This window comes from Homo sapiens, chromosome 17 (assembly GCF_000001405.40).
Source record: "Homo sapiens chromosome 17, GRCh38.p14 Primary Assembly".
Classification (NCBI taxonomy): domain Eukaryota; kingdom Metazoa; phylum Chordata; class Mammalia; order Primates; family Hominidae; genus Homo; species Homo sapiens.
In genome coordinates this window covers 29,958,228-29,973,298 of record NC_000017.11, presented here as the reverse complement: position 1 = coordinate 29,973,298, position 15,071 = coordinate 29,958,228, and the positions used below count along the sequence as shown (strand labels likewise).

At 39.2% G+C, this 15,071-nt stretch overlaps 1 protein-coding gene across 14 annotated transcripts in view; it reads right to left on the bottom strand.

Annotated features, from left to right (window-relative positions):
• Window positions 1–15,071, bottom strand: part of EFCAB5 (EF-hand calcium binding domain 5) — a 178,550-nt gene that overhangs the window by 135,154 nt on the left and 28,325 nt on the right. For 13 of the 14 annotated variants that reach the window (NR_026738.2, XM_024450742.1, XM_024450743.1 and 10 more), the window contains exon 4: window positions 3,932–4,508. The exons of the other annotated variant lie outside the window; for it this stretch is intronic. Coding sequence is in view for 12 of the 13 variants with exons in the window: in XM_024450742.1 (XP_024306510.1) it covers window positions 3,932–4,508 (577 nt within the window). In the remaining variant the exon portion in view is untranslated. The remainder of the gene's footprint in view (window positions 1–3,931; window positions 4,509–15,071) is intronic. 14 annotated transcript variants of the gene reach the window in all.

Sequence of the window (15,071 nt, the reverse complement as noted above, 5' to 3'; positions counted from 1 at the left end):
TCTGGCAGTTTGGTGCAGAAAGGATTTGGCCCAATCTTGTGCTGGCTAAGATACAGAAAGGCACATAAAGTTTGTGGCTCAAAGTCCTCCAGGGTGGGGTAGGGCAGAATGTACACAGGGAAGTGGTTTGGGAGAGACTTGTAGGAGTGTGGGCTTGGGTTCCTGTGACAGAAGTAGTTGGTCCTGGTGGACCAAGGCTGGGGTGGCCAAGGGGAGCCTGAGCCCTCTGGCTGGGAAGACGCTCCTGCAGTGGCCCCTGTCTAGGGGAGCTAGTTCACCAGCTCACTGCTTTCAAACCACAGCTGGATCTCTTTCTGACCCCCTACCCTGAATAGCTGGTGTGAATGATGTTCCTGCTGATGTGGACGTCGCTGAAGTCTCCCCATATGGTCACAGAGTCAGCCTCAACCCTGTCAGGGTATCTATCATGGCCCTCGAGGCATGGATCACATTGTACCCTTCCCAGACCATGGCCATCAACAGGCCTGGAGCTCACATAGCTAAGGAGGGCTGGGTAGAGGGGCTTCCTTCGCAGGTCCTGGTAGTGTTCAGCAAGGACGCTTTCTGGCCGGCCACAGGATCTTCATCCCTACCAGCTTGAAGCCCTGCCTCCAAAGCGCTGGATCACATCCCTAACAGGCCGCCACAAGACCCCAACTGGCTCCAATGAGACCAGGGTCCACTCCTGGATCAAGAAGGGTCCTCCTGAGCCGGGCGCAAGAGCAGGCATGGCCCAGAGCCCGCGGGTCGTACAGCAGGCCCGGCAGCGGTGGCACGCCTGAAGAGGCTGCAGGTGATGTCTGGTCACGGGTCATTGACTCTAAAAATTATATGTTTTAGTCCTGAAGGGCCTAGAAACAATGACTACACAATATTTATGAGCACTCCTAGCTCACAAGTGAGTGATCCCCATTTTAAAAGGAGCCAGGAATCCATTTAAAAAATGCCTGGGCCGGGCGCGGTGACTCACGCCTGTAATACCAGCACTTTGGGAAGCCGAGGCGGGCGGATCACGAGGTCAGGAGATCGAGACCACCCTGGCTAAGGCGGTGAAACCCCATGTCTACTAAAAATACAAAAAAAAAAAAAAAAAATTAGCCGGGCGTGGTGGCGGGTGCCTGTAGTCCCAGCTACTCGGGAGGCTGAGGTAGGAGAATGGCGTGAACCCGGGAGGCAGAGCTTGCAGTGAGCCGAGATCACGCCACTGCACTCCAGCCTGGGCGACAGAGCGAGACTCCATTTAAAAAAAAAAATGCATGACGTTTTCAAAGACTAAAGGGGTAATGTCAGAAAACAGAAGCCAAAGTTGGTGCAATTTGAGCATCTAACAGAAAAAAAGACTATAACTGATTAAAATATATTGAATATATATTAAAATCCATGCATCCATGATGATACTGAAAAAGGAACCCTTTCCCAAAAGGGGAAAACATTTTTCATTTGCTGCCACTAGTGGTGACTATTGATAGGTAGATAGATATATACCGTATTCTGAAAAATCTGTAATTAAAAGGAAAGAAATATTCTGTCTTACAAGTAGAAAGCATATTTCAGTGTACCCAAATACATAGCAACCAAGCAGGATTTATTTCAGGAATTCTAAGGTAATTGAATAGTAGGAAATCTATTAGTAAAATTCATCATTAAGGAATCTAAGGTGAAAATCATATTATCACTTTCATAGGTGTTGAAAAAGCATTTGATAAAATCAAGTCTTAATTTTTAAAAATCACTCTGAAAGGTAGAAATTAGGTACATTTTCCCATTGAGATAAAATGTTTTTCATATCCAAATGGAACAGAACTAGTAATATAAAAACTGCCCATAATGAAGCAGTAACAGAAGCAGCATTTCTACTAAAGTTGTAAAAAGACAAGGATGCCCATATCACCATTATTATTTAATATTGTATTGGAGGTAGTAGGATATTAGTATAAAAATTGAAAAGGAAGAAGGGAAACTACTATTATTTGCAGACAATGGTTACCTCCCTAGAAAACCCAAGAAACCAACTAAAATGTTACTGTAAGAGAACTCAGTAAGGTAGCAGGGTACAAAAATATATAGAAATTAGTAGCTTTCATGTCTTCAGACTACATCCAGATAGAAAATATAGTAACAGAAGAAAGCCCTGCTTAAAATAGCAACAAAGAATGATAAAAATAACTAGTAATGAATCTAATAAAAGAGATACAAAACCTACATTAAAATCTTTTTTTTTTTTTGAGATGGGGTCTCACTCTGTTGCCCAGGCTGGAGTGTAGTGGTGCATCTCGGCTCACTGCAGCCTCCGCCTCCCAGGTTCAAGTGATTCTCCCACCTCAGCGTCCCAAGTAGCGGGGATTACAGGCATGCATCACCACGCTGGGCTAATTTTTGCATTTTTAGTAGAGACAGGGTTTTGCCATGTTGGCCAGGCTGGTCTTGAACTCCTGACCTCAGGTGATCAGCCTGTCTTGGCCTCCCAAAGTGCTGGGATTACAGGCGTGAGCTACCATGCCCAGCTGCAAAAAACTTTAGGGCAACAATAATTCACACAAAATAAGATGAGCAAATGGAAAGACACCCCGAAACACTCATCATTATTACAGATGTTGGTTTTCTGGTGTGTGTGTGTGTGTGTGTGTGTATGTGTGTGTGTGTGTGTGTGTGTGTGTGTGTCTGTTTTTGAGACTGGATCTCGCTCTGGTACCCAGGCTGGAGTGCAGTGGTGTAATTTTGGCTAATTGCAGCCTTGAAGATGTTGGTTTTCTAAGAGTATTAATAGATGTAATCAGATTTCAATAAAAATTCCTGTAAGGTTTGTCTTTTCGTTTTCCCTCCCCATTTTTTTTCAAGTAGACAAGTTACTCCCATAATTCATATAAAAAAAGTAAACAAACAAAAATAGCCAGGAAACATCAGAAAAGAAGAAGAGCAAATAGTGGGGACCAGCACTGTCAGATCTATGGAATATATTTAAAAGTCTCAATTGTTAAAGCAGTGTGGTACGAATGCATGAAAGGGAGACTGACCAATGGAATAGGATGGAAAAATGCAGAAATACACCCCAAAATATATATGAATTTATTAATAAAGGCTCAATCCCAAACCAGTGGGGCAAAGATAGACTACTCAACTCTTATTGGGACCACTAAGTAGACATTTGAAAAAGGATAAAGTTGAATCCTTACATGTTACAGTAGGTTAAATTCCAAATGAGTCAGTATTTAAAATGAAAATTAAAATAATAATTCTGGAAGAGAACATGGAAGAATTCTTTTAATATTTTGAAATGTAACAGTGCCTCAAAATCCTGATGCCATAAAAGAAAAGTTAAATTTGACTATATAGAAATAAAAAATCTTCTACATGAAAAAAGATAAATGGCAGGTAAAAATGGGTATTTGTAACATGTATCACATGCTTTTGTGTAAAAGAAAAAATTAATAATCCATGTTTGCATTTCCTTATGTATGTATAAAGAAATTCTATAAGGATCTATAGAAAATTAAGAATAGTAGTTATTTATGGTGGAGGTGGAATATTGGGTAGATGGAAGATAAGAATGGGAGGGAAACTTTTCACTATATAACTTTTTTTACATATTGACCTTTAAACCAGATTGCCTATATGGAAAATTAAATTTTTAAAAAGTTCCAACTTTCATATAGCTTACTTTCCAGTGCAGGCAGATAAATAAAAATACAAATCATTATACACTTGCAGTCATAGTGAGATAATTAAATCTATGAATACAAGGAACTTATTTATTTTGTTAGTCTTCACAGTGCCTCAAAAAGAGTGAAGCACATACTAGTAGCTCAATAAATACTTTCTGAATAACTGTAGAATCACTTGTTTTAAGTCCTGTCCATGATTATGTTATTTTTTCTACTAGTTTTTCAATGTAAGGAGACAGATCATGAACTGAAACTATAACAGATTGTACCTGTTGCAGATAGTGTCAGGAACATATATCTTCAGGTCTTCTGTGACTTCTTTCATCAACCTCTGGTAACCAGACATTCCTGGGTCTTTGATATAATTAGGATTGTTTCTTATTAAATATTCCCCCAAATAATTAATTGGGTCAAACTTGCTTGGAGTATCAGCTTCTGTCAAAACCTTCTTCTTTTCTACTTGAGTTAACATGTTTTCTACTCCAGGAACTAAGGTGGGTAGAAGTTTGTCAAGCAAATATGCAGTATTATTCAGTGTCATGCTGTCAGTATTAAACCACTCTTTGGCCAAATTATCCCTAGGGAGTTTTTTTTCAGCCTTTTTTTCTAGTTCCTTCTTCAGATTTTCCTTATCTATTATTTTCTGCTGCATTGCTTGGGCTCTTGCCTCCATTCTTTCAAAAAGGTTTTTCTTCCATGTGTGCTCTGGCTTTGATTTCAGTTCAGTTTCATCTAAAGCAAAAATCACTTTTGCAGATTTTCTAATTGCAATATTACCTGAGGCTTCAGTTTTAGAGTCCTTTATTGAACCAGGTGAAATTTTTCGCTGCCCCTCCAGGTTTAATTCTGAGGGGAAAAAAAAGTGAAATGTAAGAAATGTTAGAAGTAAATTTTAATCTATGTGACTTTAGAATAATATTTGAAAAAATTTTTATATCCATTTACACAGTGGATTGGAAGAATGTCAGCTGAAAATAACAGAAAATCAGACAAAGTGACTTTAACCATAAAGACATTTATTGTTGACTTAATCAGAAGCCATTTAGCAGTTCAGTGATTTCATTAAATACGTAGGCTGTTTCTGTTTATTTTCGTTCATTTTTTTGCTTGTACCTCATGATCACATGACGACTATTAGAGCTCCAGCCATCACTTCCTCACAGCAAAAAAGCATAGAGGACAAAGGGTTTTTCTCCTCTTGAGGCTCTGTTTTATTATCCAAGAGGAGAAGATCCCAGACTCCCCACTCTAAGACTTCCCTTTACATTTCATCTGCCCTAACTAGGATACATGCCCACGCCCAGACCAATCGCTGGTAAAGGGAAATGGGATTACTATGAATAGTATAGACAAATTATAACTTATTTCTTGGTGCCAGGGTTTGGTTCAAATTCTCTGATAACAAGTGATTTTCATCTGCTACAACACTGAGGTTCAGTTGGCAGGCAAAAAGGTAGGGAAGGCTGGGCGCAGTGGCTCACATTTGTAATCCCAACATTTTGGGAGGCCAAGGCGGGAGGACTGCTTGAGCCCTGGAGTTCAAGACCAGCCTACGCAACATTAGGAAGATGCTGTTTCTACAAACAATAAAAAAATTAGCCAGGCATGGTGGCGTACACCTGTGGTCCCAACTACTCAGGAGGCTGAGGTGGGAGGATCACTTAAGCCCTGGAGGTCGAGGCTGCAGTGAGCCACGATCATGCCACTGCACTCCAGTGAGACTTTGTCTCAAAAAAAAAAAAAAAAAAGGTGAGGAAATGTGTGGTGAGTAAGCAAAGAGTCTACCACACATGTATATTTAAATACATTTCTCTTCATTTTATTCCCAGCTTCCTTTATGTCTTCATTTTTTAAATGCAGGACGGAGATATTAGACCAAGATGGTAGACTGAGAACAGGCACCTATATCCCCTCCCCTACCAAAATCTCTAGCAATGACAGGAAAAGTTGTGTGTATGTTTTTAAAATTTAAAAAATGCGCAAGAATACTACAATCATGAAGGGGGCCTTCAGGAGTCAGGAATTTTGAAGATCTCTGAAAAATGTAAAGCAGGGGAATTCAACTGATTGAAGAAACTATAGGACTAAAAAGATACGGTGGAGACCACTATAAAATTTGGGAGCAGATTTGAGGCACCCCAAGTTTAGAGGATGTAGATATGGGTCATAGGAGAAAGACTGACCTTTTTGTGTATCTTAATTCCCATTTGAGCTAATCATCAGGCACCAGAAGGGTTTTCCCCTGCACTGAGTTAAGGTATATAGATGTTTAGGCTAGAGAAGCAAGATTTCCACACGCAGAGAAAATGACCTATTGACAGCTTCACTGTCTGCACATCTTGTCCTTCCCCCACTGGCATCAGACTATAGAAAACAGTAACTCTATAGGAAAGCAAATAGAGAATCTCAAATTCAAATGTAAGCACACATTCACAGAATGTTTAAGAAAAATCATCCCCATGACTAAATTCAACAAACAGAATAACTAATGCCACCCAAGGAAATACCATTAAATAGAACAAATGTAAGGAGTCTTTAAAAGAATATCCTCAGAGCAGAGAAATTAGAAGAAATTAAAAGTTATTAAAAAGAACACTTAAGAGAACGTAGACCATCTAGTGCTCACATCTTGGTTTCTAATATCACTCTCCAATTAAAAAAATCAGAACTCCTTGGAGATACAGCTGATTATAGGATTGGGCTCATGTTGTATATAGGAAATATATACAAGAATATCTTGTAGTGCCTGGAATATCTTGTAGTGCCAGAAAGTAAGGAAGTGCTGAAAAAAAAAACTATAGTAAATAAGTAAAAAGACAAATTTCCTGTGCAGAAATAGTCCAAATAATTTATGTAGATACTCCACACTCAAGGATGTTGAGCATGACTCCCCTCTCTTTAAGTGCGGACTGCATATAGTGACTTCCTCTCAAAGAGTACAATATGGAAATGGGAGAGGGAAAATAACTTTACAGTAGAGAAACCTGACAAATACTATCACAGCCTAACAATCATTATTAACATCAACAGTAACACATCATGTTGACACCATATACCCATATGTATACGTATATGAGTATATGACAGCATATACTCAGCCTCCCAAGTAGCTGGGACTACAGGTGCATGCCACCATGCCCAGCGAATTTTTGTATTTTTTTCTTTTTTGATAAAGACAAAGTCTTACTATGTTGCTTAGGCTGGTCTTGAACTCCTGGCTTCAAGTGATTCACCCACCTTGGCCTCCCAAAGTGCTAGGATTACAGGCATGAACCACCATGCCCAGCCAATCCAGAACATTTAATATTAATCTTATAAAAGTGTCAGAAGGTGTAAGCCAAGTGTTAGACATAATGAAATATTCAAATAAATAATGTAAGAAATCTCTCAGAACTGAAGAAAGACACAAATCTTCAGCTTTGAAAGGCTTACTAAATGGAGTTTCCATTTGTAATGATAAAAACTTTCTGGAACTAGACAGTGGTAATGGTTGCATAACACTGTGAATTTACTTAATGGCTCTGAATTGTACACTTTAACACAGTTTAAATGGTAAATATTATGATATATGTATTTACCACGATTTTTTTAAAAGCCTACCAAATAAACACAGGATACGAGATTAAAATACAAAAGTAAATTTATTTCCTTGGAACTACCAATTAATAACCAATTTAAAATGTTTTATATTTTTAGTTATCAATGAAAATATAATTTTATAAAGCTTCATGTCATTATAGCAACAAAAATTTAAAATATCTAGAAATAAACTAAACAGAAATGTGTCAGACTAATATGAAGAAAGCTATAAAACTTTACTGAAGTAGTACTGGCATAAGGATAGACACATAGATCAATGGAATAAAATTGAGAGTCCAGAAATAAACCCATACATCTATGACCAATTGATTACATTTTTTAAAGTTCCTCTTGTACTCTGAAACCAATTGATTTTTGACAACGGTACCAAAACAATTTCATGGAAAAAACAGTCTCTTCAACAAACGGTGCCATGACAACTGATATCTACATGCAAAGGGATGAATCTGGATGCCTACCTTACACCATATATGAAAATTAAAATTAGTCCTAACAGTCATATATACAATAGTCTACCCAATATAACAGCAGAATACATATTTTTCTCAAGTGCACATGGCACATTCTCCAGGATAGACCATATGTTAGGCCACAAAACTAGTCTCAATGGATTTAAAAAAATAGATACCATATAAAATATCTGCTCTTTAATGAAGAGCACAAAGCTTGATGAAGTTAGAAATCAATAAAGGAAAACTAGAAAACGCACAAAGCTACAGAAAATAAACAACTCATTCTTACATGACTAATGGGTCAAAAAAATCACAAGGGATATTAGAAAATAATAAGAGACAAATGAAAATAAATACACAACATATCAAAATTTATAGGATGCAGTGAAAAAAGGGCTCAGATGGAAACATAGCTGTAAGTGATTACATTTAAAAAAGTCAAATCCAAGGTCAGGAGACCGAGACCATACTGGATAACACGATGAAACCCCATCTCTGTAAATTAAAAAAAAAAAATTAGCCGGATGTGGTGGCAGGCGCCTGTAGTCCGAACTACTCGGCAGGCTGAGGCAGGAGAATGGTGTGAACCCGGAAGGCAGAGCTTGCAGTGAGCCGAGATCAGGCCACTGCACTCTAGCCTGGACGACAGAGTGAGACTCTGTCTCAAAAAAGAAAAAAAAAAAGTCAAATAAGTAACCTATACACCTTAAGAAACTCGAAAAAGTAGTGCAAACTAAACACAAAACTAGCAAAAGAAAGAAAATAATAAAGGTTAAAGTAGAGATAAACAAAAGAGAGAATAGAAAAATAGTAGAGAAAAACAATTTAACCAAAAATTGGTTCTTTGAAAAAATCAACAGAATGAATAAACCTTGAGCTAGACTGAAAAAAACATTAGCAAAGATACATAAATAACCAAAATCAGAAATGAAAGTGGGGACATTATCACCAACCTTACAGAGATTAAAAAACAAAAACAAAAAACAATTATAAGCTGGGCGCGGTGGCTCACACCTGTAATCCCAGCACTTTGGGAGGCCAAGGCAGGCAGATCATGAGGTCAGGAGTTCGAGACCAGCTTGGCCAACATGGTGAAAACCCGTCTCTACTAAAATTACAAAAATTAGCCAGGTGTGGTGGCATGCACCTGTAAACCCAGCTACTTGGGAGGCTGAGGCAGGAGAATTGCTTGAACCCAGAAGGTGGAGGTTACAGTGAGCCGAGATCACACCATTGCACTCCAGCTCTGGGCAACAGAGCAAGACTCTGTCTTGGAAAACAAAAACGATTATAAGAGAATACTATGAGCAATTTTATGCTAACATATTGGATAACCTAGAAGAAATGAACCAATTCCTTGAAATTACCTAAACTGACTCAAGAAGAAGTAGAAAGTCTCAACAGATCTTGTGTTAGTTAGTTTATTTTGTGTCGCTATAAAGAAATACCTGAAAAAAAAAGGAATACCTGAGACTGAGTAATTTACAAAGAAAAGAGGTTTATTTGGCTCATGGTTCTGCAGGCTGTGTGTGAAACAGTGCCAGCATCTGTTCCCAGTGAGGCCTCAAGAAGCTTATAATCATGGTGGAAGGTGGGGGCGGGGCTGGCATATCACATGGTGAGAGAGGGAGCAAGAGAGAGAGAGGGAAGGGGTACCAGGCTCTTTTAAACAACCAGATCTCACATGAACTCATAGAGTGAGAACTCACTCATTACTGCAAGAACAGCACCAAACCATTCATGAGGGATCCACCCCATAACCCAAAAACCTCCCACTAGGCCCACTTCCAACATCACAGGTCACATTTCAACATGAGATTTGGAAGGGACACACATTCAAACCATATCAGACCTCTAACAAGTAAAGAGATTGAATCAGTGATCAGAAACTTCCCAACAAAGAAAAGTCTTGGATCAGATGGCTTCACTAGTGACTTCTATCAAATATTTAAAGAAGAATTGAAATGAACTCTTACCAAATGCTTGTAAAAAATTGAAGAGGTGGGAACACTTCCTAATTCTTTCTATGAGGATAGAATTACTCTGATACTAAAGCTAGATAGATATCACAGTAAAATTATAGGCCAATATTCCTTATGAATATAGATGCAAAAATCCTCAACAAAATATTAACAAATCAAATCCAAGACCATAGTAAAAGCCTTTTCAACATGAAATCTTTCCAGATTTATCTCAGGAATGCAAAGGTGGCTCAACATAAGAAAATCAAGCAATGTAATCCATTACATTCATAAAATGAAGGGGAAAAAAGCCACATAATCAATGCATATGGAGAGAACATTCCTAAAAATAATAAAGGTAGTTATTTAAAAATCCACAGTTGGCCAGGTGTGGTGGCTCATGCCTCTAATCCCAGCACTTTAGGAGGCTGAGGTGGGAGAATTGCTTGAGTCCAGGAGTTCAAGACCAGCCTGGGTAACATAGTGAGATCCTGTCTCTACAAAAAATTTAAGAATTAGCTGGGTGTGGTAGCACATGCCTATAGTCCCAGCTACTTGGGGGGCTAAGGTGGGAGGATCACTTGAACCCTGGAGTTTGAGGCTTCAGTGAGCCATAATCATGCCACTCACTCTGGTCTGGGAGACAGAAAGTGACCCTATCTCAAAACAAAAATAAAAATAAAAAGTTCACAGTTAACACGACACTCAGTAATGGAACACTGAAAGCTTTCTCCCTAAAATGAGTAACAAGAAAAGAATGCCTACTTTCACCACTGCTGTTCAACATCATACCAGAGTTCTAGCCAGAGCTATAAGACAAGAAGAACAAACAAAAGGCATCCAAATTGGAAAGAAACAGGTAAAACTGTCTCCTTTCACAGATGACATGATCCTATATATAGAAAGAATCCATAAGAAAGCTACTAGAGCTATTGAACAAATTCAATAGGGCAACATACCGAGACCCTGTCTAAAAAAAAAAAAAAAAAAAGCCAGGCATGGTGGCACGTACCCGTAGTCCCAGCTGTTGGTAGCTGAGGTGGGAGAATTGCTTGAGCCCAGGAGTTCAAGGGTGCAGTGAGCTATGATTACATCACTGCAGTCCAATCTGGGCAACAGAGTGAGACCCTATCTCTAAAAAAATAAAAACAGGGGGAAAAAGGAAAGCAATTCCATTTATAAAAGCAGCTAAAAGAATAGAATACTTAGGAATAAATTTAACCAAGGAAGTGAAAGATATATGCTAAAAACTATAAAACATTGCTGAAAGAAATTAAAGAAAACATAAATAAATAGAAAGATGTCCCTATTCATAGATAGGAATACTTTACATTGTTAAGATATCAATTCTACCCAAAGTGATCTACAGATTCAATGCAATCAAAATTCCAATAGTCTTTTTCACAGAAATAGAAAAAGTGATCCTCAGATTAATATGAAACTGCAGAGGCCCTTGAATAGCCAAAATAAATCTTGAAAAAACAAAAGGAACAAACTTGAAGGATTCACACTACCCAACTCTGAGACTTACTACAAAGCTACAACAAATAAAACAGTACTGGAGTAAGGACAGACATATAGACTAATAAAATAGGATAGAGAGACCAGAAATAAACTCTCATATATAGTCAATTGATTTGTGACAAGGGTGTCAAGACCATTCAATAGGGAAAGAATAATCTTTTCAAGAAGTGGTACTGAGACTACCTGATACATCGTGTAAAAGAATGAAGTTGGTCCTTTACCTTATATACAAAAATGAACTGAAAACAAATCAAAGATCTAAACTGAAGAGAGTAAACGATATGACTTTCCCAGCTTGGGCAACATAGTGAGACTGTGTCTCTACAAAAAATTAAAAAAACAAATTAGCCAGGCTTGGTGATGCACACCTATAGTCCCAGCTACTTGGGAAGCTGAGGTAGGAGGGGATCACTTCAGCCCAGGAGGTCAAGGTTGCAGTGGGCCATGATCATGCCACTGCACTCTACCCTGGGCAACAGAGTGAGACTGTGTCTCTAAAAACAAACAAACAAAACCATACAACTCTTAGATGAAAAATGAAAACCTGTGGAAAATCTTCATGCCACTGGCTTTAACAATGACTTCATGGATATAACACCAAGAGCACAGAAAACAAACAAAAAAAGATAAAATATACTTTAAAATTAAAAAACTTTTGTACATCAAAGAATTATGTCAAAAAGTGAAAAGATGATGTGGTAAATGAGAGAAAATATTTGTAAAGCATATAACTGATAAGGAATTAATATTCAGAATATATAAAGAACTTCTAAAACTCAATAACAATAAAACAACCTAATTCAAAAATGGGCAAAGGATTTGAACAGACATTTCTCCTAAGAAAATATACAAATGGTCAATAAGTACATGAAAAGATGTTCAACATTATGAGTTATTAGGGAATGCAAATCATAACTACAATGAGATACCACTTCACATTTACTAAGATGGTTATAAGAAAACAAAAACAAACAGAAACTCAGAAAATAACGAGTGTTGGTAAGAATGTACAGAAATTGGAACTCTCATGCTTTGCTGGTGGGAATGCAAAGTGATGCAGCTATTGTGGAAAACTCTTGTGGCTTCTCAAAACATTAAACGTAGAGCTGGGTACAGTGGCATGTGCCTGTAGTCCCAGATACTTGGCAGGCTGAGGTGGGAGGATTGCTTAAGCCCAGGAGTTCAATTCCAGCCTAGGTAGCATACCAAGACCCTGTCTCTTAAAAAAATAATAATAATAATCAATAATAGTAATATAGTTTAATTTTTTAAGGTAAACCTAGAACTACATATGACCCAGAAATCCCACTTCTATGTATATATCCAAAAAAATTGAAAGCAGGGGCCCAGATACTTGCACATCAGTGTTCATGGCAGCAGTATACATAATCAGTAAAAGTGGAAACAACTCAAGCATCCATTCACAGATGAATGGGTAAACAAAATGAGGTATAGATGTACAATGAAATATCATTCACCCATTGAAAAAATGAAATTTTGGGGGTAGGGGAAGGAGAGCATCAGGATAAATAGCTAATGCATGTGGGGCTTAATACCTAGGTGACGGGTTGATAGGTGCACCAAACAACCATGGCACATGTTTACCTATGTAACAAACCTGCACATCCTGCACATGTATCCCAGAACTTAAAATAAAATATTTCAAAAAATGAAATTTTGAGAGAGGCAGAGCAAGATGGCCTAACAGAACCCTCCAGTGATCATCCCCCTCACAGGAACACCACATTGAACCACTATCCACACAAGAAAGCACCTTCATAAGAACCAAAAATCAGGTGACTGATCACAATACCTGGTTTTAATATCATATCAAGGAAAGAGGCACTGAGAATAGGAAAGACAGTCTTGAAATGCGTATACCACCCCTCCTCCATCCCCCAGCAGTGGCCTCACAGTACAGAGACAGAATATGATGCTTGGGGCAGGGAGAGCACAGTGACTGTGGGATTTTGCATTGTCACGCAGTGTTGCCCTGTCACAGTGGAAAGCAACATGGGGTAGAATTCAGCTGGTGCCCACAGAGGGAGCATTTAGACCAGCCCTGGCCAGAGGGGAATTTTCCATCCCAGCAGTCAGTACCTGAGTTCCAGCTAGCCCACCACTGAGGGCTAAAGTGCTCTGGGGTTCTAAATAAACTTGAAAGGAAATCTAGGCTATAAGGACTGTAGTTCCTGGGCAAGTCTTGGTGCTGTACTGGGCTCAAAGCCAGTGGACTTGGGGTGTACATGACCTAGTGAGACACCAGCTAGGGCAGCCAAGGGAGTGGTTGTGTCACCCCTCCCCCAACTCCAGACAGTGCAGCTCGTAGCTTCGGCAGAGACTCCTTCCAATTAAGGAAAGGAGAAAGGACAGTAAAGAGGGCTTTGTCTTGCAACTTGGATACCAGCTCTGCTACAGTAAAATAAAGTACCAAGCAGAGTCCTGGAGTCCCCATGCTAGGCCCTGCCTCCCAGATGACAATTTTAGACACATCCTGGGCCAGAAGGGAATCTACTCTCTTGAAGGAAAGGACCCAGTAGGATTCATCACCTGATGACTAAAGTGCCCATGGGCCTTGAATAAACATCAGTGGTAGCCAGGCAGTACTCACTGCCTTGGGTGAGACCCAGTGCCGTGCAGGCTTCAGGTATGACCCAGTACATTCCCAGCTGTGGTGGTCATGGAAAAGACTCCTTCTGCTTGAAGAAAAAAGAGGGAAGAGTAAAAAGCATATTGTCTTGCAACTTGGGTGCCTGCTAAGCTACAGTAAAATGAAACACCAAGTAGATTTCTAAATGTATCAACTCTAGGCTCTAGTTCCTGGACAGCATTTCTAGACTCACTCTGGGCCAGAAAGGAACTCGTTGCCCTGAAGGGAAAGACACAGGCTGAATTTACTAGCTGCTGACTAAAGAGCCCTTGGGCCTTGAATAAACATCAGCAGTAGCCAGACAATAGTTACCAAAGGCCTTGGGTGAGACTCAGTACTGTGCCGGCTTCAGGTTGGACCTGGCACAGTCCCAGTGATGGTGGCCACAGCGGGGCTTGTGTCACTCTTCCCATAAGTCCAGGCAGCTCAGCACAGAGAGAGAGACAGACTCCATTTTGGCAGGGGGTTGGGGAGATGTAAGGGAAGAGAACAAGAGTCTCTGCCTGGTAATCCCGGGAATTCTCCTGGATCTTACCCAAGACAACCAAGGCAGTACCTCTACAAGGCTTCAAGATTCACAGTGTTAGTGGGTTTGGGGTGCCCTCTAATGCAGATATGGCTGCAGTGACTGAAGGCTTAGATCACAACACTCAATTCCCTTTGAATACTTAGAAAGCATTCCCAAGAAGGATGGGTACAAACAAGCCCAGACTGTGAAGACCACAGTAAGTACCTAACTCTTCAATGCCCAGACATCAATGAACATCCACAAACATCATGACCTTATCAAACAAAGTAAGAGAACACAGTGACCAATCCCAGAGTCACAGAGATATCTGACCTTTCAGACAGAGAATTCAAAATAGCTGTTTTGAGGAAGCTCAATGAAATTCAAGATAGCACAGAGAAGGAATTCAGAATTGTATCAGATAAATTTAACAAACAGATTGAAATATCTTTTAAAAATCAAGCAGAAATTCTGGAGCTGAAAAATTCAATTAATGTACTGAAGAATGTATGATGTTCCCTCAGTTGCAGTATTGATCAAGCAGAAGAATTAGTGAGCTTGAAGACAGGCTATTTGAAAATACACAGTCAGAGGAGACAAAACTATAAAAAAGAACTAAGCATGACTGCAGTATCTAGAAAATAGACTCAAAAGGACCAAGTTAAGAGTTATTGACCTTAAAGAGAAGGTAGAGAGAGAGATTTGGGTAGAAAG